Raw genomic sequence first — 23,376 nt, forward strand, 5'->3', positions numbered from 1 at the left:
CACCTGGCTATTTTTTTGTATTTTTAGTAGAGACGGGGTTTCTCCACGTTGGTCAGACTGGTGTCGAACTCCCGACCTCAGGTGATCTGCCCTCCTCGGCCTCCCAAAGTGCTAGGATTACAGGTGTGACAGCCACCGCACCCGGCCTCTCTTCAATTCTATGAAGACTGAGAGTGGTGAGGCAGCTGCAGAAGGAAAGTCTGAAGCTAGAAGAGCTTGTTTCTTGAGGTTTAAGGAAAAAAGTCATCTCCATAACATAAAAGCGCAAGATAAAGCAGCAAGTACTGATGGAAAAGCTGCAGAAAGCTATCTAGAAGATAACTGATTAAGATGGCAACACTAAATAGATTTGCAATGGAGACAAAACAGCCTTCTACTAGAAGGAGATGCCATCTAGGATGTTCCCAGCTAGAGAGGAGTTGATGCCTGGCTTTAAGGCTTCAAAGGACATGCTGACTCTTTTGTTAAGGGCTAATGCAGTTGGTGATGTTAACTTGAAACCAATGATGATTTACTATTCTGAAAATCCAAGGGCCCTGAAGAATTATGATAAAACACAGCTCTGTCTGTACTCTACAAATGGGAACAAAGCCTGGATGACAGACTATCGGCTTACAAATATGGTTTACTGAATATCTGAAGCCCACTGTTGACACCTACTGCTCAAGAAATAAGATTCCTTTCAAAGTATTACCGCTCACTGACAATGCCCCTGGTACTCAAGGGCTTTTACAGAGATGTACAAAGAGCTGAATATTGTTTTCATGCCTACTAACCCAACATTCATTCTGGTGCCCTTGGATCAAAGAATAATTTCAACTTTCAAGTCTTATCACTTAAAAATATATTTCATAAAGCTATAACTTCTCTAGAAAGTGATTCCTTTGATGGATCTGGGCAAAATAATTGAAAACCTACTGGAAAGGATTCACCATTCTAGATGTCATTGAGAACATTCATGATTTAAAAAATAAGATCAAAATAGCAACATTAGGAGAAGTTGGGGCCGGGCGTGGTGGCTCACACTTGTAATCCCAGCATGTTGGCAGGCCAAGGCACGTGGGTCACGAGGTCAGGAATTTGAGACCAGCCTGGCCAACATAGTGAAATCCTGTCTGTACTAAAAACACACAAAAAATTAGCTGGGCCTGGTCGAGGGTGACTGTAATCCCAAACACTTGGGAGGCTGAGGCAGAATTGCTTGAACCTGGGAGGTGGAGGTTGCAGTGAGCTGGGATCGCATCACTGCACTCCAGCCCAGGCAAGACTTCATCTCAAAAAAAAAAAAAAAAAAGAGAGAGAGAGAGAAGTTGGGAAGATTATTCCAACCCTCACAGATGACACAGGGGTTCACGACTTCTGTGGAGGAGGTAACTGCAGATATGGTGGAAATAACAAGAGCACTAGAATCAGAGACAGAGCCTGAAGATCTGGTGAGACTGCAGCAGCCTCCGGAGAAAACGTGAGTGGATGAGTTGCTTCCACGGATGAGCAAAGAAAGTGGTTTCTTGAGATGAAATCTACTCGTGGTGAAGACAGTGTAAACATTGTTGAGATGACAACAGATTTAGAATAAACTTAGTTGGTACAGCAGAAGGAGGGCTTGACAGGATTGACACAATGATTTACAATAATACATAAACTTAGTTGGTACAGCTGTACGAAGGTTTGACAGGATTGAATCCAATTTGAAAGTTCTACTGTGGGTAAAAAGCTATCAAACAACATCGTATGCTACAGATAATTCTTTTGTGAAAGGGAGAGTCAATTGACACAGCAAACTTCAATGGTGTCTTATTTTAAGAAATTGCCACAGCCACCCCAACGCTCAGCAACCACCACCTTACATTAAGGCAAGACCCTCCATCAGCAAGAAGACTGAAACTTGGCCAGGTGCAGTGGCTCACACCTGTCATCCCAACACCTTGGGAGGCCAAGGTGGGTAGATTGCTTGAGCCCAGGAAGTCAAGGCAACATGGCAAAACCCCATCTCTACAAAAAAAAAAAAAATACAAAAATTAGCTGGTCATGGTGGCATGTATCTGTAGTTCCAGCTAGTCAGGAGTCTGAGGTGGGGGTTTGATTGAGCATGAGGTTGAGACTGCAATTACTCTAGCCTGAGCCACAGAGTAAAACCCTGTCACGCACACACAAAAAGACTGCAGCTTTCTGAAGGCTCAGATGACTGTTAGCACTTGTTAACAATAAAGTATTTGTAAATTAAAGTGTGAACACTTTGTAGACATATGCTATTGCACACTTTATACAACACAGTATAAACATACTTTTACATGCACTGGAAAACCAAAAGAAATTGTATAATTCACTTTATTGCAGTGGTCTGGAACCAAACCCACATATATCTCTGATGCATGGCCGTCCTGTATTGTACACTTAAAATAAAACTTAAGAGGGTATATTTTAGGTGAAATGGTCATCTCATTTTTTTTTTTTGAGACGTAGTCTCACTCTGTTGCCCAGGCTGGAGTGCAGTGGCACAATCTCAGCTCACTGCAAGCTCTGCCTCCCGAGTTCATACCACTATCCTGCCTCAGTCTCCCAAGTAGCTGGGACTACAGGTGCCCGCCATCACGCCTGGCTAATTTTCTGTATTTTTAGTAGAAACGGGGTTTCACTGTGTTAGCCAGGATGGTCTTGATCTCCTGACCTCGTGATCCACCCGCCTCGGCCTCGCAAAATGCTGGGATTACAGGCGTGAGCCACCACTCCCGGTCTCATTTTTTAAAAAGGGTCAGAATGAGAAATATATGGGGAGTGATGGTCAAGTTTACGGCATTATTTGTTGTGATGAGTCCTGGGGCGAATACTTATCTCTAAACTCATTAAGATGTATATATTCGGTGTCACACGCCTGTAATCCCAGCACTTTGGGAGACCGAGGCAGGTGGATCATCTGAGGTCAGGAGTTCGAGACCAGCCTGGCCAACATGGTGAAACCCTGTCTGTACTAAAAAAATACAAAAATTAGCCGGGTGTCGGGGCGCACGCCTGCGATCCCAGCTACTCAGGAGGCTGAGGCAGGAGAATTGCTTGAACCCGGGAGGTGGAGGTTGCAGCTAGCTGAGATCGTGTCACTGCACTCCAGCCTGGGCAACAAGAGTAAAACCTCCGTAACACACACACACACACACACACACACACACACACACACACACACACACAAAGGTATATATTAAATATGTGTAATTTTTGTATGTCAACCACACCTTAGTTTTATTTTATTTTATTTTATTTGAGACAGAGTCTCGCTCTGTCACCCAGGCTGGAGTCCAGTGGTGCAATCTCAGCTCACTGCAAGCTCCACCTCCCAGGTTCACACCATTCTCCTGCCTCAACTTCCGGAGTAGCTGGAACTACAGGCACCCGCCACCACGTCCGGCTAATTTTTTGTATTTTTAGTAGAGATGGCATTTCACCGTGTTAGCCCGGATGGTCTCGATCTCCTGACGTGATCTGCCTGCCTCAGCTTCCCAAAATGCTGCGATTACAGGTGTGAGCCACTGTGCCCAGACAATTTTTATTTTTTTGAGACAGAGTCTCACTCTGTCACCAAGGCTGGAGTGCAGTGGCACTATCTTGGCTCACTGCAACCTCTGCCTCCCATGTTCAAGCAATTCTGCTGCCTCAGTCTCCTGAGTAGCTGGGACTACAGATGCATGCTATCACGCCTGGCTAATTTTTTGATTTTTAATAGAGATGAGGTTTCACCATGTTGGCCAGGCTGGTCTCAAACTCCTGACCTCATGTGATCTGCCCACCTCAGCCTCCCAAAGTGCTGGGATTACAGGTGTAAGCCACTGCACCCGGCAATTTTTAAATATATATAATTAAAAATTAATAAAAAAAGGTATTTGCAAGTTTCCGTTTTGTTATATACTTATTATTCTTTATCTTTATGTCAGGTTGCTGTGTCAATACACTTAGGAGATCATAGTTTCTAAATTGAAATACAAATAAATATGTCTCAAGTTTTTTCTTTTTTCTTTTTTTTTTGAGATGGACTCATTCTGTCACCCAGGCTGGAGTGCAGTGGTGCAATCTCAGCTCACTGCAACCTCCGCCTCCCAGATTCAAGTGATTCTCCTGCCTCAGCCTCCAGAGTAGCTGGGATTACAGGCACCCGCCATGACACCCAGCTAGCTTTTATATATTTTTTTTCTATTTTTAGTAAAGACAGGGTTTCACCATGTTGGCCAGGCTGGTCTCCAACTCCTGACCTCAGATGATCCTCCCACCTCGGCCTCCTCAAGTGCTGGGACTACAGGTGTGAGCCAGTGTGCCTGGCCTGGAATTTTTTTCTAAAATTTACATTTCTGAGTTAAGAATGCTTAAAATATTATAAAAACAGAAGCACAATTCATTATGTGTTTCATTAATTACCTCTATTAAAAACAACACAATTATATTACAATAGGACAAAAAAAATGTTTAAGCAAATGAAAACAAAACCATGACATACCCAAACTCAGGAGGAGGCAACAAAGGCAGTGCTAAAGGGAAGCTTACAGCCGCAGATGCTTAAATTAAAAAGAAGAAAGATCTCAAAGCCATGCTAAAGGGAAGCTTATAGCTGCAGGTGATTAAATTAAAAAGAAGAAAGATCTCAAATCAATAACCTAACATTACACCTAAAGGGAAAAAAAAAAAAAACTAATGACAAACCAAGCAAAAGGAAGAAAATAACAGATTAGAACAGAGATAAGCAGAATAAGACCAGAAAAAAAGGAAAAAAAAACCACTGAGTTTGTTTTTTTAAAGATCAATAAAAATTTTAAAACTCACAGCTATATTAAGAAAAAAAGAGAAATCTCAAATACTAAAATCATAAATAAAAGAGGTGACAGTACAACAGATTCCACAGAAATGAAAAAGATTACAAGAGACTAATGTGAGCAACCATATGCCACAGAACTGGGCAACCTAGAATAAATTTATAAATTCCTAGAAACACAAACCACCATACTGCATCATGGAGAAATAAAAAATCCAAAGAGACCTGTAACTAGTAAGAAGATTCAACCAGTAATCAAAAACCCCCCAAAAAAGAAAATTCCAGGTCCAGATAACTTCACTGGAAAATTTTACCAAACATTTCAAGAAGAATTAATGCCAGCCCTTTGCAAAATATTCCAAAAATGTTCAAAAACCAGAAGGGGACATTCCAATCCATTCTATCAGGTCAACATTTATCTGGTTCCAGAGCCAGATGAACACCTTTTGTAATAAAAACACTCAAAGAATTAGTAATATATGGAAACTCCTCAGTAAATAAAGATTATACATGAAAAGCTCACAGCTAACATCATACTGAATGGTGAAAAACTAAAATCTTTTCCTCTAGGATCAGGAATAAGATAGCAACATCTCTTCCTGCCACTTCTATTCACCACAGTACTGGAATTTCTACTCAGAATAATTAGGCAAGAGAAAGTAATAAAAAGCATGCAAATTGGAAAGGAAAAAGTACAAAATTTTGTTCACAGACAACATGATGTAATGTGTAAAAATCCTGAAATTCCACAAAATACTGGTAGAATAATGAAATTCAACAAAGTTTCAGGATACAGTAACACACACAAGTCAGTTCCATTTCTATAAACTAACAATGAACAATCTGCAAATAAAATTTTAAAAAGAGGCCAGGTGCAGTGGGTTACAGTTGTAATCCCAGCACTTTGGAAGGCCAAGGCGGGTGGACCACCTGAGGTCAGGAGTTCGTGACCAGCTGGGTCAACCCCATCTCCAATATAAATAGTAAAACTCTATCGCTATTAAAAATACAAAAATTAGCTGGGCATAGTGGCAGACACCTGTAGTCCCAGCTACTTGGGAGGCTGAGGCAGAAGAATTGCTTGAACTTGGAAGGTGGAGGTTGCAGTCAGCTGAGATTGTGCCACTGTGCTCCAGCTTAGGAAACAGAGTGAGACACCGTCTCAAAAAAAAGAAAGAAAGGAAAGAAAGAGAGAGAAAGAAAAGAAAAGAAAAGAAAGAGAAAACAAAAGAAAAGAAATTTTTAAAAAGAATGACATTTGGCTGGGTGCAGTGGTTCATGCCTGCAATCCCAGCAGTTTGGGAGGCCGAGGCGGGCAGATCACCTGAGGTCACAAGTTCAAGACTAGCCTGGTCAACATGGAGAAACACTGTCTCTACTAAAAATACCAAAAAGTTAGCTGGGCATGGTGGCGCGCACCTGTGATCCCAGGTACTTGAGAGGCTGAGGTTGGAGAATCGCTTGAATAAGGAAGGTGCAGGTTGCAGTGACCTGAGATAGTGCCACTGCACTCCAGCCTGGGAGACAGAGCAAGACTCCATCTCAAAAAAAAAAAAAAATTATATTTACAACAGCATTATAAAAATTAGAAATAAGCTTAACCAAGAGGGCAAAAGATTTGAACACAGAAAACTACAAAACACTGTTAAAAGAAATTAAACACAAATAAATGAAAAGAAAAGCTGGGTTTGCAAATTAGATGATTTCATCTTGGAATGATGTCAACACTACTCGAAGTGACCTAGATTCAATACAATCCTTATAAAGATTCCAATGACATTTTTGATAAACAGAAAAACCTATCCTAAAACTCATATGGAATCTCCAGGGCCCATGAATAGGCAAATCAATCTTGAAACAGAACAAAATTAAAGGTCTCAAAGCAATTACAAAACTGCAATAAGCCAAAAAAAAAAAATGTGGTCATGGCATAAAGACACTCTTGACACACTTATGGACCAACACAACAGAGACCTCAGAAACCAACCCTGGCATATATGGTCCGATGATCTTCCAGAAGGATGCCAAGACCACTCAATGGCAAAGCACAGTTTCTTCAACAAGTGGTGATGGGAAAATTGTATAACTACATGCAAAACAATGAAGTTGGACTCTTACCTTACACCACGTTAAAATCAATTCAAAGTGAATTATAAACCTAAATGTAAAACTAGAACTATCAAACTCCTAGGGAAAACAAATTTGGAAAATGCTTTATGACGATGAATTTGTCAATAATTTTTAGGATATGACATTAAAAGCTCAGGCAGTAAAAGCAAAAATATATCAAACCTAAAAACTTCTGTACCTCAAAGGTCACAACCAACAGGGTAAAAGGCAAACTGTAAAATTAAAAAAAATACCAGTTGAGTGTCCCTTATTTGAAATGCTTGGGATGTGTTTCAGATTTTGTAATATTTGCATTATTCTTACTGGTTGAGGATCTCAAATTCAAACACCTGAGTCTGAGATGCTCCAATAAGCATTTCCTTTGAGTGTCATGTTGGCACTCAAAAAGTTTCAGACTTTGGAGCATTTGGGATTTCAGATTTTTGGATCAGAGACATTCAACCTATAGTTGCACATCATGTATCTCATAAGAAGTGAACATTCAGAATGCGTAAAGAACTCCTACAGAGAGACTACCAGAAGCAGAGAGGAGCAAACACATTTTCACACTAGGGAACCTGCTATCTCTCCTGGATTCCAATTAGGGCAGAGTAAGTGCTAGTTCTCTGCCAACCCAGGATTAGGCCCTGCAGCTGCAGTGAAAATAATCACAGAAGAAAACTAAGAAATAAAAAATGGAGAAAGTGAGACATCAAACTAGAATTACTAGAAACCTCCAGGAAGAAGGAAAAAAAATCCAAGAAAACAGAAAAACAATCAAACCAGTTAATTAAACCTTGGTGTGACCAGAAGATCAGGGTTTCCTAAAGGAGTGGAAATTTATTGACTTGAAGGCGATTCATTGATTACTGATTTGAAGAGGAAGAAAACCATGAATGGTCTAAAGCAAAAGCCTAGTGTCTGAAGAAGTCAGTAGGGTGAAAACAAGAGCTGGCCAGAATGTCCACAGATGGTGACAAGTTTGCAAAGCCTTTACTAGACTACTTGTGAAGCTAACTAGAGGCCAAGGAGCCAACACTGCCCCTGTCCTTACAGAGAGACCCTACACAGGATTCCCAGATATACATGGAAGGACAACATCTTATCAGGTCCTCTCTGTGCAGATGTGGTTATCATTCCAAATAATGAGCTCCAGCCCCAAGACTGTTCCATCCTCAATTGCTTTGAGTGGGCAATGTAGGCTCTCCACACACGAGCTACATGTAGGTTCCTTGGGTACCCAGATGGGAGCCGTGAAACATAAACCCTCCATGGTCAGGTCAGTATCTGTTTCCTGCCTTTTTCCCAGCAATCCCCAGGCCTCAGCAGCAGTGGTCTACCTCTGCTGATTCTCATTCAGAATCTAAACTTAGAAACAATTAGAACCTAGACCCGAATTCTACCTGAAAGTAACAGAATAACATAATCTATACCCTGCAGCATGACTGTTTGCCCAACGTAATGAGGATGAACTGAGAGATAATGAATGATCATGACCCTGGCCCAAGTAACAAGAATGAACTGTGAGATAAATGAATGCTCATGACCAAAAAACCCAGCTACAACACAACAAAATAAAGTGATTAAAAAATGGACAAAGAACATTCATCCAAAGATGCAAAGATGATATACAAATAGCCAACAGATACATGAGATATATGAGAAGATGTGTAACATCACTAATCATTAGAGAAATGCAAATAGAAACCACAATGGGACATCACTTCAAACCCAACAGAAAGTAACAAGTGCAGGTGAAACTGAAACACTTGAACACTGTTGGTGGAAATATTAACTGGCTCCTCAAAAAAATAAAATAAAATGACCATATGATCCAGCCATCCAACTTCTACAGAGACAGAATAACTAGTAGCAGGACCTCAAACAGATATGTGCACACCTGTGTTCACAGGAGCATTACATAGCCACGAGGTGGAAGAAACCAAAACGTCCATCCAGGAATAGATGGATAAACAAAAGAATATACATATATATATATAGAGAGAGAAAATATATATATATGAAGAAATATTATTCAGCCATAGAAAGGAAGAAAATCCTGACACATCTGCACATAACATGGAACCTACTTAAAAAACAAATATTATAAAACCCTAGGTATATAAGCCAAATTTTTAGAAACACAAAGTAGAATAGTACTTGCCAGGAGGTGGAAGGAAGGGGAAATTAATAGTTGTTGAATGGGTATAGAGTTTTCTAAGATAAAAAAAAATCTAGAAATCTGCTACACAACAATGTAAATATTCTTAACTCTACAAAACTGTATACTTACAACTGGTTATGATGGTAAATTTTAAGGTATGTGTTTGTTACCAAAATTCGAAATTATAAATTATTTATAAAAAATGATCTTTTTTGACACACGGTCTTACTCTGTTGCCGTGGCAGGAGTGGAATGGCATGATCACAGCTCATTGCAGCCTCAACCTCCCAGGCTCAAGCAACCCTCCCACCTCAGCCTCCCAAATAGTTAGGACTACAGGTGCACACCAAGATGTCAGGCTAAATTTTGGTTTGGTTTTTTTGTAGAGAGGGTTTTGCCATGTTGCCCAGGCTGGTCTCAAACTCCTGGGTTCAAGCAATCCACCTCCCTTGGCCTCCCACAGAGCTGAGATTATGAGCATAAGCCAACATGCCCAGCCTATAAAAAATTATTTCCAAAAGCCAAAAGATTAATCAAACTGGAATATTTAGAAATATTTAACCCAAAAGAAGTTAGGAAAGAATATATAGAAGATCAAAAGACAGACGAAGGCCAGGCATGGTGGCTCATGCCTGTAATCTGAACACTTTGGGAGGCCAAGGTGGGTAGATTGCTTGAGCTCAGTAGTTCAAGACCAGCCTGTGCAACATGGCAAAACCCTATCTCTACAAAAATATAAAAATTAGCCAGGTGTGGTGCCATGCACCTGTAGTCCCAGCTACTCAGGGGGCTCAAGTGAGGATTGGTTGGGCCTGGGAGGCAGAGGTTGCAGTGAGCCAAGATTGCACCATTGCACTACAGTCTGGGTGACAGAACAAGACCCTGTCTTAAAAAAAAATAAACAAACAAATAGAAAATAAGTAGAAAAATGGCAGACCTAAATCCAACCTTAGCAATGATTAGTTACAATGTAAGTGGACAAATACTCTACTTAAGACAGAGACTGCCAGACCTGAGAGGAAGGCAAGACCCAACAATATGGCATCCACAGAGACACAATTTAAACACAAAGACACAAAGTATGAGAAAAAATATGCTATGCAGATGCTAAACATAAAAATATGCTATCCAGACACTAATCATAAAAAGCTTCAACAGAGATGTTAACACTAGATGAAAGAGGCTTCAGAACAAAATATATCACCAGAAATAAACAGGGTAATTTAATAAAAATAAAAGAATCAGAGAGGATGATGTTACAATTATAAATTGTGCCTCAAAGTGCACACAAACTACACACACACACACAGAGCCTCAAAGTATGTGAATCAAAAACAACAGAACAAAAGCAGGAAATTGACAATCCAAAATTATAGCTGGTGAATTAATACTGCTCTCTCAGTAACTGACGGAACAACCAGATAAAAATATAGGAAAAATACGGATCTAAATGACAAAATCCTGACCCAAATGGTACTTGGCAGTGCCAAGATAGACTGTATGTCGATGGATTGAGAAAAGGTTCAAGCCTGAAATAGTATACAAAGGATGTTGTCTGAACACTTGAAATTAAATTAGAAACCAACAACAAATTGATATCCAGAAAAGCCTCAAATGTCTGAAAACCAAGTAATAAACTTTGAAATACCCTGTGAGTCAAAAAAGTATTCACAAGGGGAACTGGAATGTATTTGGAATAAACTTGTTATAAAAATCTCATTTCTGGTAGACTAAAGGTGACAAATTCTTTCCTGCTCCTCTCTCTGTGAGAACCAATTCCCCTTAAACCTTGACCAGACTACTGACTTATTTGGCCAACAGAAGGTGACAAAGGTGGTATTTGGGGACTTCAGAAGCCAGGCTGAGAAAACAGAACACTTACCCAGGAGAAAGCCAGTCACCAGGCAGGAAATCCCACTCCCCTGAGACCTCATGATGGAAACCACAAGGCCAGTCCATGACTAGCTACATGCATTGACATCCCCCACTGAGCCTCCAGCAACACTGACTCCCAACAACTAGTGAGCCTCCAGCAACATCCACTCCCAACCACTAGTGAGCCACCCTGCACACCACCCCACTGTGCTTTCACACAATCCAGCTTGGCTGCAACTGTGTGTGAGATGAGCTGGCCACCAAGACTCTCTAAGCCAAAAAACAAGTAATAATGAGTTGTTTTACTTCAGAATAGATAACTGGAACAGAATATGGCAGCTGGAAATGAGCTGCTGTGGTAATCAGAAGCTACAATATGTGACACGACTGTGAGGCTGACCTGTAACTGGGCCTCAAGGAGACCATTCATGCAACCTGGAAGGGCATCAAGACTCTTGGTCAGGGCCTGAAGGACGGTGAGAAAATGTCATTGGAAACTGGAGAAAAGGTCTGAGAGTTACTTGCTGAGGGACTGTGGGAAAACTATGGCCACAACATGGAAACTGAAAGGGCACTGCACCATCTCAGGGATCTGCCTAAGGAGACATCTGGGAAGAACATGGAAAGTGCTACCAGCCTCCCCTAACTGTCACTGAATAAATATGACAGGAGAGGGACATGATCTAAAGAAGAAGGTTCAGTTTTCAAACAGAATTTAGAGAAAATATAAAGAAATAATTTCTTGTCTCAAAAGGCCAAAGTAAAAAAAAAAGAAAAGAAAAGAAAAGGAAAAAAAATGAAAAAGAAGCCATTGAATACCCTATTGACCATAAGAAAAAGGCAGGGAAAGCTGGTCAACGGCAACCCAGGCACTGAAGGAAAAAGAACATGGAGAATGACAAAAGCCCAGAGGGAGGAGTAAAAGGACACAAACACCATTCTCAGGGACCAGGACTGGGCGCCGTTTTCAGGGACCAGGACTGGGCACTAATCACAGAACTGTAACAGGCGCCCCATGGGAATGACCAACTGTTAGACGGGGCCTGCAGGGCAGCACTTCCCTCTTGCCTCCCACCAAAGCTTCTAAAGGGAAATGTCGACTGTTTTCACAGCAGTCCCCTCACTGCGGCTGAGTTTGTGGGCTCAGATGATAGCTCACAACAACCTGATTCAGTCCCCACTGTGGCTGTGTGTGGGGGGTCAGATGACAGGCCACCACAACCTGATTCAGTCCTCACTGCAGCTGAGTGTGTGTGGGTGCAGATGACAAGCCACCACAACCTGATTCAGGATTCAGTTGGGCTACTAGCCAGTGCCATAAGGAAAACCATTCTGGGGCTCTTGAGAGGGGCAAAGCATAATTTGCATGTGGGAGAAACGTTAATAGTTTGTGGCCAGAGGACAAGCTGTGGTTTATTAAAGACTGCTGCAGGTTCCTACTATGCTTCTCATCAAGAGGTGGAATCTAATCACCTTTCCCCCTTGAATCATGGCTGGTCTCAGTGATGAGTACAACTGGACAGTGTGGCAGGAGAGATGCTCTGGGACTTCTGAGGGATGATCATGAGAGACCTTACAGCTTCTGCCTGGGCCTCTTGGACACACACCCTGGGAGAAGCCAGACAAACCTGACTACCTGATGCTACCAGACTGGAAGGAAGTCCGTGCTGGCCACAAAGAGAGGGCTGGGTGCCTGCTCCGTGTCCCCAGCCACTAGAGTCCTTCTGGGTGCCTGCTTCACGTCCCCAGCCACTAGAGTCCTTCCAGATGAGACCAGGGACATCATGAAGCAACCAACCCACACCGCTCTGTCCAGTGTCTTGACCCAGAAAATTGTGACATGTAAAAAGAATAAATTCCTGGTTTAAGCCAGTAAGGTTACGGGTACATTGTTACATCTCAGATAATTAAAACCTTGAAAAACTCATGAGAGATCACAAGTAGAACCTTGATCTGAAACATGGCATGTGGCGATTTATATTGAGTATTAGGTTAAAAATGCAAGAATGGAGCATAGTTAATATTTTACATTAAAGCTAAAACCATAATTGCCTACTTAAAATTTTCAGTTAATTAGGTTGTCACTTTTTGTTCTTAACCAAGAAATCAACTAGTTTTAGTCCATAAACAGTTAGAACTGATGCACACATCCGTTTTTCCTTACTCATTTTAAACAGCTATCTGAAATAGGAAGTGTAATATAATCTTTAAAGAATCTGAAAACATGACAGAAATGTTTAAACTATAAACATATATTGTATATGTTAGCATATTGTATACATTGCATATTAACATAAGCTAGAATCATTGACATAAATTTATATAAACAAAAGGTATAAAATATGATAATGTTCTTCTTGTTTTTTGTCTTTGCATATTTCTTTATTGGCCCTTGTCAAACATGACCCACTAACTCCTGAATGCTTTGTCTCTCCCCATGGATTCCTAAGGATGTCACCACAGTGTTGGCCAGATGCACAGGTCACAGGGGACTGAACCTCATCACCCCACAAACATACCATTCAGGTTTTGCCAAGAATGACACTGTAAATGTAACAAAGCTTCTGTGCTTGTTAGTGAACACCAACTCAGCTCCTCTCCTGTATTCAGAAATCAGGATGAGATGAAAACAACAAGCAGGCCAGGCACGGTGGCTCAGGCCTGTAATCCCAGCACTTTGGGAGGCCGAGGTGGGCAGATCACCTGAGGTCGGGAGCTCGAGACCACCCTGATCAAAACAGAGAAACCCCATCTCTACTAAAAATACAAAATTAGCCAGGCGTGGTGGCAAATGCCTGTAATACCAGCTACTCAGGAGCTGAGGCAGGAGAATTGCTTGAACCCGGGAGGTGGAGGCTGCAGTGAGCCGGGATCACACCACTGCGCTCTAGCCTGGGCAACAAGAGTGAAACTCTGTCTCAAAAGAAAAAAAATTAAAAATAAAAGAACAAGGAAACAAAAGTAACAAGGCTTGACACCAGATGAGCCTGAATCTAAGCAAGAAAAGCCCAGAAAAAATCCCATTTTGGGTCACTGGCTGCATGGTAGTAATACCATACACATAAGGGAAGAGAGGAGGATGTGGCTTTCACTTTGAATTTTTTTAGCTTAAGGTAACATTTGCGTAGCTACAAATAAGAATTCAACAGAGAGTTAAACCTATGATGGAAAGATTGAAGGGGTCCAAGCTGTAGAGAAACAGGACTGCAAACCACAAAGGGCAGAATCAGTCAAGGAGAGCTGCAGGGCGGGATGAACAGGGACCAATGGAACATTTGGACAAGCTGTTGAGAAGAAAGGAAAATTCAGAGAAAAAGAACTGTCAGTGAGGTCATAATAGGAACTGTTACAGTGAACTAAATATGGCCTGGGAAGGACTCTGTACTTCTAGATTTGAGTCCCTGTGGACAAACTGCAACCTAACTTAATAGGTAGAAAGACTGATAACCTAACTTTGGAGTATGCACCTGTAACTATAGCTGAGTCCTGGCCAATCCCAACAGCCAAACTTCTGCCACTCACACACTGCTGAGTGTTCAGCTGTGTTCAAATAAGGCAAATGCTGAGCACTGTAACCAGTCCAGTTGTTTCTGGACCTCACTGCTGAGAACTGTAACGGACCCAGTTGCTTCTGGACCTCACTCCTCACTTCAGATTTCTGTACATCACGTTCCCTTTATTGTCTATAAATCTTCCACCATGTAGCTGTGCTGGAGTCTCACCAAATCTGCTGTGATTCTGGGGGCTGCCTGATTCGTGAATCATTCATTGCTCAATTAAGTTCCTTTAAATTTAATTCAGCTGAAGATTTTCTTTTAATAGATGGTGTCAGAAGTGGGATCTGTGGGAGCAGGACTGCTAGGGCCTCCGGAGCTATAGTGTGGTGAGCAGTGTTGCTAGGGCTTCTAATGACCCCCAGGAGTGCTGAGGTACAAGAAAGGCACCTGCAAGGACCGCTCTATGATGGCAGCAGTGGCCCATGTGGAGCAGTTGCTACGGAGACACTGGCTGCAGTGGGGAGGAGTGGCTGGGGCTGTGAACTCCTCAAAGTTAGTGGGAGCCAGGAACAGGTGAGAGACCCACCCCTTCTAAATTGGCAGGCAGGAGCCCCACCCTCCCAGGCACAGCTGCAGCCATCCACCCATGACAGCAAACCCGGGCATCTTTGCACTCTCAGAGGCCCAGCAAGCCCCCCTGCCCCCGCAGACCCAGTCATACCTGCTCCCACCACCTGGCATGTCTCCGCTCCCAGAGCCCACTCCAACTTCGGATCCAAATTGAGGTTGAACCCAGGCACAGTCGCAACCCAGCCCAGTTTGTGCAAGCTCAGGGCAGTGCTGACATGCCAGCCCCCTGCCACCTCGGCCCCCTCCACACTTTGGGAACTGATGAGCACAGGAGGGACGTTGAGGTGGGGCTAAGAGTGGCTCAGCACTGGCTTGAAGGCACTCCTCAGCTCGAAAAGCCTGGGCACTGTGGGCATAGCTAACCACCATGCATCTCTCTCAGCTGCTGAGAGCTGAACAGACATTGGGATGACCTGCCTGCCGAAAGGAGCTACCCACTGCACGTCTCCTCTGAGCTGTACTGTTGCTCAATAAAGCACCTCTTCACCTTGCTCACCTTCTACTTGCCCACATACCTCATTCTTCCTGGACTCAGGACAAGAACTCGGGACCTGCCAACTAGCAGGGCTGAAAGAGGTGTAACATAAACAGGGCTGAAACGCACCCCTTGCTTGCCAAATTGCAGGCAAGAAGAAGAGAAGAGAGAAGGAGAGAAGAGCTGTGGCCCTTCAGGGAGCCCAGACCTAGGAGCTCCCCAAGCCAGGGCTGTGACACCTTATTTGGGGCTCTGCAGTTCCTGCATCTCGAAGCTTCCAGGCACCGCTGCATTCCCTGATACCCACAGTGGAAGCTGTTTGCAGTCAGCCTGGTCCAGCTGCAGCCTCACAGGGAGCTGGCACCTGTGGCGGTGCCTGGAGCTGCCCACCCCACTGCAGCTGGCATGCTTGGCTGTGTGCAGTGGCCAGATCCCATGCTCGCTTGCTCACACACCCTTCACTGCTCTGTACCCAGCTCACCCTTGGCAGGTGTGGGATCCAGACCACTAGCATGAGCCAAGTGGACAGAACGAACCCAGTGGGCCCGAGCAAAACACAGGTAAAGGCGCCACCAGCCAGAGGTTTCAGGCAGAAAAGTGACGCCTCAGGATTCTGTAACACTTGTGCCCTTTGACCTCTCAGAGCATCTGGGGATCGTGGTAAATTCTCTCTCGGATTTCAGAGCTCCATGAATTTGTGTTTTGAGCTGAGTTTCTCTGAGCAAATTTCTGTTCCAAACTGCTATCCAGCCATGACTGGCTGGATGTTTTAGAAGTTATGACAGAAACGGGACCGGGTCCAGGATCAGATTTGATCCAGTAATTAACTGGCTTGAATCCAGTTCCAGTTAGAGGCCTCCTACATCTGAATGGGTCAGAAGGAAAGTGGTAGTAAATGATAATATTGGAGGGTTGTAAAATTTGGCTTTTGGAAATTCACGGGGATTTTTGTGTTCTGCCCCTTTGTTTCATTTTCCTCACACGCTTAGGTAGGAAAAAAAATCATTGGCTAAGTCAATCAAGGGAACCTGAGAGTAAAGCCAATATATTAGGTAAAAATAGGATCCTTAATTTCTGGAAAACTAAGTTCTTTCTGGCTAATTCATTAGGCCTGGGAAGCAGCAAAGTCTTACAGAAATGGCAAAATCTTACTAAAGATAACTTATAGTGTAACATTCCAAATGAATAATGCCCTGAAGTGCATTTAAAAATGATGGCTCCCAAATTAGTCTCATCTAGGGATGCCTATTAACATGCAGAAGCTTCTAAAAAGATTTAGAGATGGCATGGCCTATCTGGGAGCAAGTTTGAGTCTTACCAGTTTGACACTGGGTGCTAAGCAAAGTGGCTCGTGTCTATGTTTTGTCACATATATTTTGCTCTGAGCAGAATGAAAAATGTTAATTTGGTTACTCCAAGCAACCCCTTGGGCAGCATCTTGCAAAGCTAAGTGGATTCTTCCTGTGGCTCCATGATTTCCATTGTGATGCAGCTTGGCCCCCAGAGCTATAATGTGGTGAGGAGGGTGACAGAGCAAGACGCTATCTTTAAAAAAAAATGGCCCGGGGCAGTGGCTCACAGCTGTAATCCCAACACTTGGGGAGGCCGAGGCAGGTGGATCACATGAGGTCAGGAGTTCAAGGCCAGCCTGACCAACAAGGAAAAACCCCGTCTCTACTAAAAACACAAAATTAGCTGGGCATGGTGGGGCATGCCTCTAATCCCAGCTACTCAGGAGGCTGGGGCTGGAGAATCACTTGAACCTGGGAGGCAGGGGGTTGTAGTAAACCGAGATCGCACCATTGCACTCCAGCCTGGGCAACAAAAGGGAAAATCCATCTCAAAAAAGAAAAGAATAATAGATTTGCCTGTAAGGTTTTATGAAAAAGTGGGTGACATTTGGCTTTCTCTCTTTAAAGAAGATTTTCAGAAAATATTAAAAAATAATGGGAGGAGGAGCCAAGATGGCCGAATAGGAACAGCTCCGGTCTACAGCTCCCAGCATGAGCGATGCAGAAGATGGGTGATTTCTGCATTTCCATTTGAGGTACTGGGTTCATCTCACTAGGGAGTGCCAGACAGTGGGTGCAGGACAGTGGGTGAAGTGCACTGTGCACTAGCCAAAGCAGGGCAAGACATTGCCTCACTCGGGAAGCGCAAGGGGTCAGGAAGTTAGTTCCCTTTCCTGGTCAAGGAAAGGGGTGACAGATGGCACCTGGAAAATCGGGCCACTGCCACCCTAATACTGAGCTTTTCTGACGGGCTTAGGAAACGGCACACCACGAGATTATATCCCGCACCTGGCTCGGAAGGTCCTATGCCCACGGAGTCTCGATGATTGCTAACACAGCAGTCTGAGATCAAACTGCAAGGCAGCAGCGAGGCTGGGGGAGGGGCACTGGCCATTGCCCAGGCTCTCTTAGGTAAACAAAGCAGCCTGGAAGCTCGAACTGGGTGGAGCCCACCACAGCTCAAGGAGGCCTGCCTGCCTCTGCAGGCTCCACCTCTGGGGGCAGGACACAGACAAACAAAAAGACAGCAGTAACCTCTGCAGACTTAAATGTCCCTGTCTGACAGCTTTGAGGAGAGCAGTGGTTCTCCCAGCACGCAACTGGAGATCTGAGAATGGGCAGACTGCCTCCTCAAGTGGGTCCCTGACCCCTGACCCCCGAGCAGCCTAACTGGGAGGCACCCCCTAGCAGGGGCAGACTGACACCTCACACGACCAGGTACTCCTCTGAGACAAAACTTCCAGAGGAACGATCAGACAGCAGCATTCGCGGATCATGAAAATCCACAGTTTTGCAGACACCACTGCTGATACCCAGGCAAACAGGGTCGGGAATGGGCCTCTAGAAAACTCCAACAGACCTGAAACTGAGGGTACTGTCTGTTAGAAGGAAAACTAAAAAACAGAAAGGACATCCACACCAAGAACCCATGTGTACATCACCATCATCAAAGACCAAAAGTAGATAAAACCACAAAGATGGGGAAAAAACAGAACAGAAAAACTGGAAACTCTAAAAAGCAGAGCGCCTCTCCTCCTCCAAAGGAATGCAGTTCCTCACCAGCAACGGAACAAAGCTGGATGGAGAATGACTTTGACGAGCTGAGAGAAGGCTTCAGATGATCAAATTACTCTGAGCTATGGCAGGACATTCAAACCAAAGGCAAAGTTGAAAACTTTGAAAAAAATTTAGAAGAATGTATAACTAGAATAACCAATAGAGAGAAGTTCTTAAAGGAGTTGATGGAGCTGAAAACGAAGGCTCGAGAACTACGTGAAGAATGCAGAAGCCTCAGGAGCCGATGCGATCAACTGGAAGAAAGGGTATCAGCGATGGAAGATGAAATGAATGAAATGAAATGAGAAGGGAAGTTTAGAGAAAAAAGAATAAAAAGAAATGAGCAAAGCCTCCAAGAAATATGGGACTATGTGAAAAGACCAAATATACATCTGATTGGTGTACCTGAAAGTGATAGGGAGAATGGAACCAAGTTGGAAAACACTGCAGGATATTATCCAGGAGAACTTCCCCAATCTAGCAAGGCAGGCCAACATTCAGATTCAGAAAATACAGAGAACGCCACAAAGATACTCCTCGAGAAGAGCAACTCCAAGACACATAATTGTCAGATTCACCAAAGTTGAAATGAAGGAAAAAATGTTAAGGGCAGCCAGAGAGAAAGGTCGGGTTACCCTCAAAGGGAAGCCCATCAGACTAACAGCGGATCTCTCAGCAGAAACCCTACAAGCCAGAAGAGAGTGGGGGCCAATATTCAACATTCTTAAAGAAAAGAATTTTCAACCCAGAATTTCATATCCAGCCAAGCTAAGCTTCATAAGCAAAGGAGAAATAAAATACTTTACAGACAAGCAAATGCTGAGAGATTTAGTCACGACCAGGCCTGCCTTACAAGAGCTCCTGAAGGAAGCACTAAACATGGAAAGGATCAACTGGTACCAGCCGCTGCAAAATCATGCCAAAATGTAAACACCGTCGAGACTAGGAAGAAACTGCATTAACTAACGAGCAAAATAACCAGCTAACATCATAATGACAGGATCAAATTCACACATAACAATATTAACTTTAAATGTCAATGGACTAAATGCTCCAATTAAAAGACACAGACTGGCAAATTGGATAAAGAGTCAAGAACCATCAGTGTGCTGTATTCAGGAAACTCATCTCACGTGCAGAGACACACATAGGTTCAAAATAAAAGGATGGAGGAAGATCTACCAAGCAAATGGAAAACAAAAAAAGGCAGGGGTTGTAATCCTAGTCTCTGATAAAACAGACTTTAAACCAAGAAAGATCAAAAGAGACAAAGAAGGCCATTACATAATGGTAAAGGGATCAATTCAACAAGAAGAGCTAACTATCCTAAATATACATGCACCCAATACAGGAGCATGCAGATTCATAAAGCAAGTCCTGAGTGACCTACAAAGAGACTTAGACTCCCACACATTAATAATGGGAGACTTTAACACCCCACTGTCAACATTAGACAGATCAACAAGACAGGAAGTCAAAAAGCATACCCAGGAATTGAACTCAGCTCTGCACCAAGCGGACCTAACAGACATCTCCAGAACTTTCCACCCCAAATCAACAGAATATACATGTTTTCAGCACCACACCACACCTATTCCAAAATTGACCACATACTTGGAAGTAAAGTTCTCCTCAGCAAATGTAAAAGAACAGAAATTATAAGAAACTATCTCTCAGATGACAGTGCAATCAAACTAGAACTCAGGATTAAGAATCTCACTCAAAACTGCTCAACTACATGGAAACTGAACAACCTGCTCCTGAATGACTACTGGGTACATAAGGAAATGAAGGCAGAAATAAAGATATTCTTTGAAACCAATGAGAACAAAGACACAACATACCAGAATCTCTGGGACGCATTCAAAGCACTGTGTAGAGGGAAATTTATAGCACTAAATGCCCACAAGGGAAAACAGGAAAGATCCAAAATTGACACCCTAACATCACAATTGAAAGAACTAGAAAAGCAAGAGCAAACACATTCAAAAGCTAGCAGAAGGCAAGAAATAACTAAAATCAGAGCAGAACTGAAGGAAATAGAGACAAAAAATCCCTTCAAAAAATTAATGAATCCAGGAGCTGGTTTTTTGAAAGGATCAGCAAAATTGATAGACCTCTAGCAAGACTAATAAAGAAAAAAAGAGAGAAGAATCAAATAGACGCAATAAAAAATGATAAAGGGGATATCACCACCAATCCCAGCAAAATACTAACTACCATCAGAGAATAATACAAACACCTCTACGCAAATAAACTAGAAAATCTAGAAGAAATGGATAAATTCCTCGACACATACACTCTCCGAAGACTAAACCAGGAAGTTGAATCTCTGAATAGACCAATAACAGGAGCCAAAATTGTGGCAATAATCAATAGCTTACCAACCAAAAAGAGTCCAGGACCAGATGGATTCACAGCCGAATTCTACCAGAGGCACAAGGAGGAACTGGTACCATTCCTTCTGAAACTATTCCAATCAACAGAAAAAGAGGGAATCCTCCCTAACTCATTTAATGAGGCCAGCATCATTCTGACACCAAAGCCAGGCAGAGACACAACCAAAAAAGAGAATTTTAGACCAATATCCTTGATGAACATTGATGCAAAAATCCTCAATAAAATACTGGCAAACCTAATCCATTAACACATCAAAAAGCTTATGCAACTTGATCAAGTGGGCTTCATCCCTGGGATGTAAGGCTGGTTCAATATACACAAATCAATAAATGTAATCCAGCATATAAACAGAGCCAAAGACAAAAACCACATGATTATCTCAATAGATTCAGAAAAGGCCTTTGACAAAATTCAACAATGCTTCATGCTAAAAACTCTCAATAAATTAGGTATTGATAGGACGCATTTCAAAATAATAAGAGCTATCTATGACAAACCCACAGCCAATATCATTCTGAATGGACAAAAACTGGAAGCATTCCCTTTGAAAACTGGCACAAGACAGGGATGGCCTCTCTCACCACTCCTATTCAACATAGTGTTGGAAGTTCTGGCCAGGGCAATTAGGCAGGAGAAGGAAATAAAGGGTATTCAATTAGGAAAAGAGGAAGTCAAATTGTCCCTGTTTGCAGACGACATGATTGTATATCTAGAAAACCTCATCGTCTCAGCCCAAAATCTCCTTAAGCTGATAAGCAACTTCAGCAAAGTCTCAGGATACAAAATCAATGTACAAAAATCACAAGCATTCTTATACACCAACAACAGACAAACAGAGAGCCAAATCATGAGTGAACTCCCATTCACAATTGCTTCAAAGAGAATAAAATACCTAGGAATCCAACTTACAAGGGATGTGAAGGACCTCTTCAAGGAGAACTACAAACCACTGCTCAAGGAAATAAAAAAGGATAAAAACAAATGGAAGAACATTCCATGCTCATGGGTAGGAAGAATCAATATCTTGAAAATGGCCATACTGCCCAAGGTAATTTACAGATTCAATGCCATCCCCATCAAGCTACCAATGACTTTCTTCACAGAATTGGAAAAAACTACTTTAAAGTTCATATGGAACCAAAAAAGAGCCCACATCGCCAAGTCAATCCTAAGCCAAAAGAACAAAGCTGGAGGCATCACACTACCTGATTTCAAAGTATACTACAAGGCTACAGTAACCAAAACAGCATGGTACTGGTACCAAAACAGAGATATAGATCAATGGAACAGAACAGAGCCCTCAGAAATAATGCCACATATCTACAACTATCTGATCTTTGACAAACCTGAGAAAAACAAGAAATGGGGAAAGGATTCCCTATTTAATAAATGGTGCTGGGAAAACTGGCTAGCCATATGTAAAAAGCTGAAACTGGATCCCTTCCTTACACCTTATACAAAAATCAATTCAAGATGGATTAAAGACTTAAACGTTAGACCTAAAACCATAAAAACCCTAGAAGAAAACCTAGGCATTACCATTCAGGACATAGGCATGGGCAAGGACTTCATGTCTAAAACACCAAAAGCAATGGCAACAAATGCCAAAATTGACAAATGGGATCTTATTAAACTAAAGAACTTCTGCACAGCAAAAGAAACCACCATCAGAGTGAACAGGCAACCTACAAAACGGCAGAAAATTTTCGCAACCTACTCATCTGACAAAGGGCTAATATCCAGAATCTACAATGAACTCAAACAAATTTACAAGAAAAAAACGAACAATCCCATCAAAAAGTGGGCGAAGGACATGAACAGACAGTTCTCAAAAGAAGACATTTATGCAGCCAAAAAACACATGAAAAAATGCTCATCATCACTGGCCATCAGAGAAATGCAAATGAAAACCACAATGAGATACCATCTCACACCAGTTAGAATGGCAATCATTAAAAAGTCAGAAAACAACAGGTGCTGGAGAGGACGTGGAGAAATAGGAACACTTTTACACTGTTGGTGGGACTGTAAACTAGTTCAATCATTGTGGAAGTCAGTGTGGCGATTCCTCAGGGATCTAGAACTGGAAATGCCATTTGACCCAGCCATCCCATTACTGGGTATATACCCAATGGACTATAAATCATGCTGCTATAAAGACACATGCACACGTAGGTTTATTGCGGCATTATTCACAATAGCAAAGACTTGGAACCAACCCAAATGTTCAACAATGATAGACTGGATTAAGAAAATGTGGCACATATATACCATGGAATACTATGCAGCCATAAAAAATGATGAGTTCATGTCCTTTGTAGGGACATGGATGAAATTGGAAATCATCATTCTCAGTAAACTATTGC

At 42.5% G+C, this 23,376-nt stretch overlaps 1 long non-coding RNA gene across 12 annotated transcripts in view; it reads right to left on the reverse strand.

Moving 5' to 3' along the window:
* The window catches only part of LOC101928669 (uncharacterized), a 75,950-nt gene that overhangs the window by 43,637 nt on the left and 8,937 nt on the right, over positions 1 to 23,376 (reverse strand). Inside the window, exon 4 of one of the 12 annotated variants that reach the window (XR_007068514.1) lies at positions 4,385 to 14,224. The exons of the other annotated variants lie outside the window; for them this stretch is intronic. This is a non-coding gene — a long non-coding RNA (uncharacterized LOC101928669). Of the gene's footprint in view, positions 1 to 4,384; positions 14,225 to 23,376 lie in introns of those variants that run through there. 12 annotated transcript variants of the gene reach the window in all.

The sequence above is a fragment of the Homo sapiens genome (assembly GCF_000001405.40).
Source record: "Homo sapiens chromosome 3 unlocalized genomic scaffold, GRCh38.p14 Primary Assembly HSCHR3UN_CTG2".
Lineage (NCBI taxonomy): Eukaryota > Metazoa > Chordata > Mammalia > Primates > Hominidae > Homo > Homo sapiens.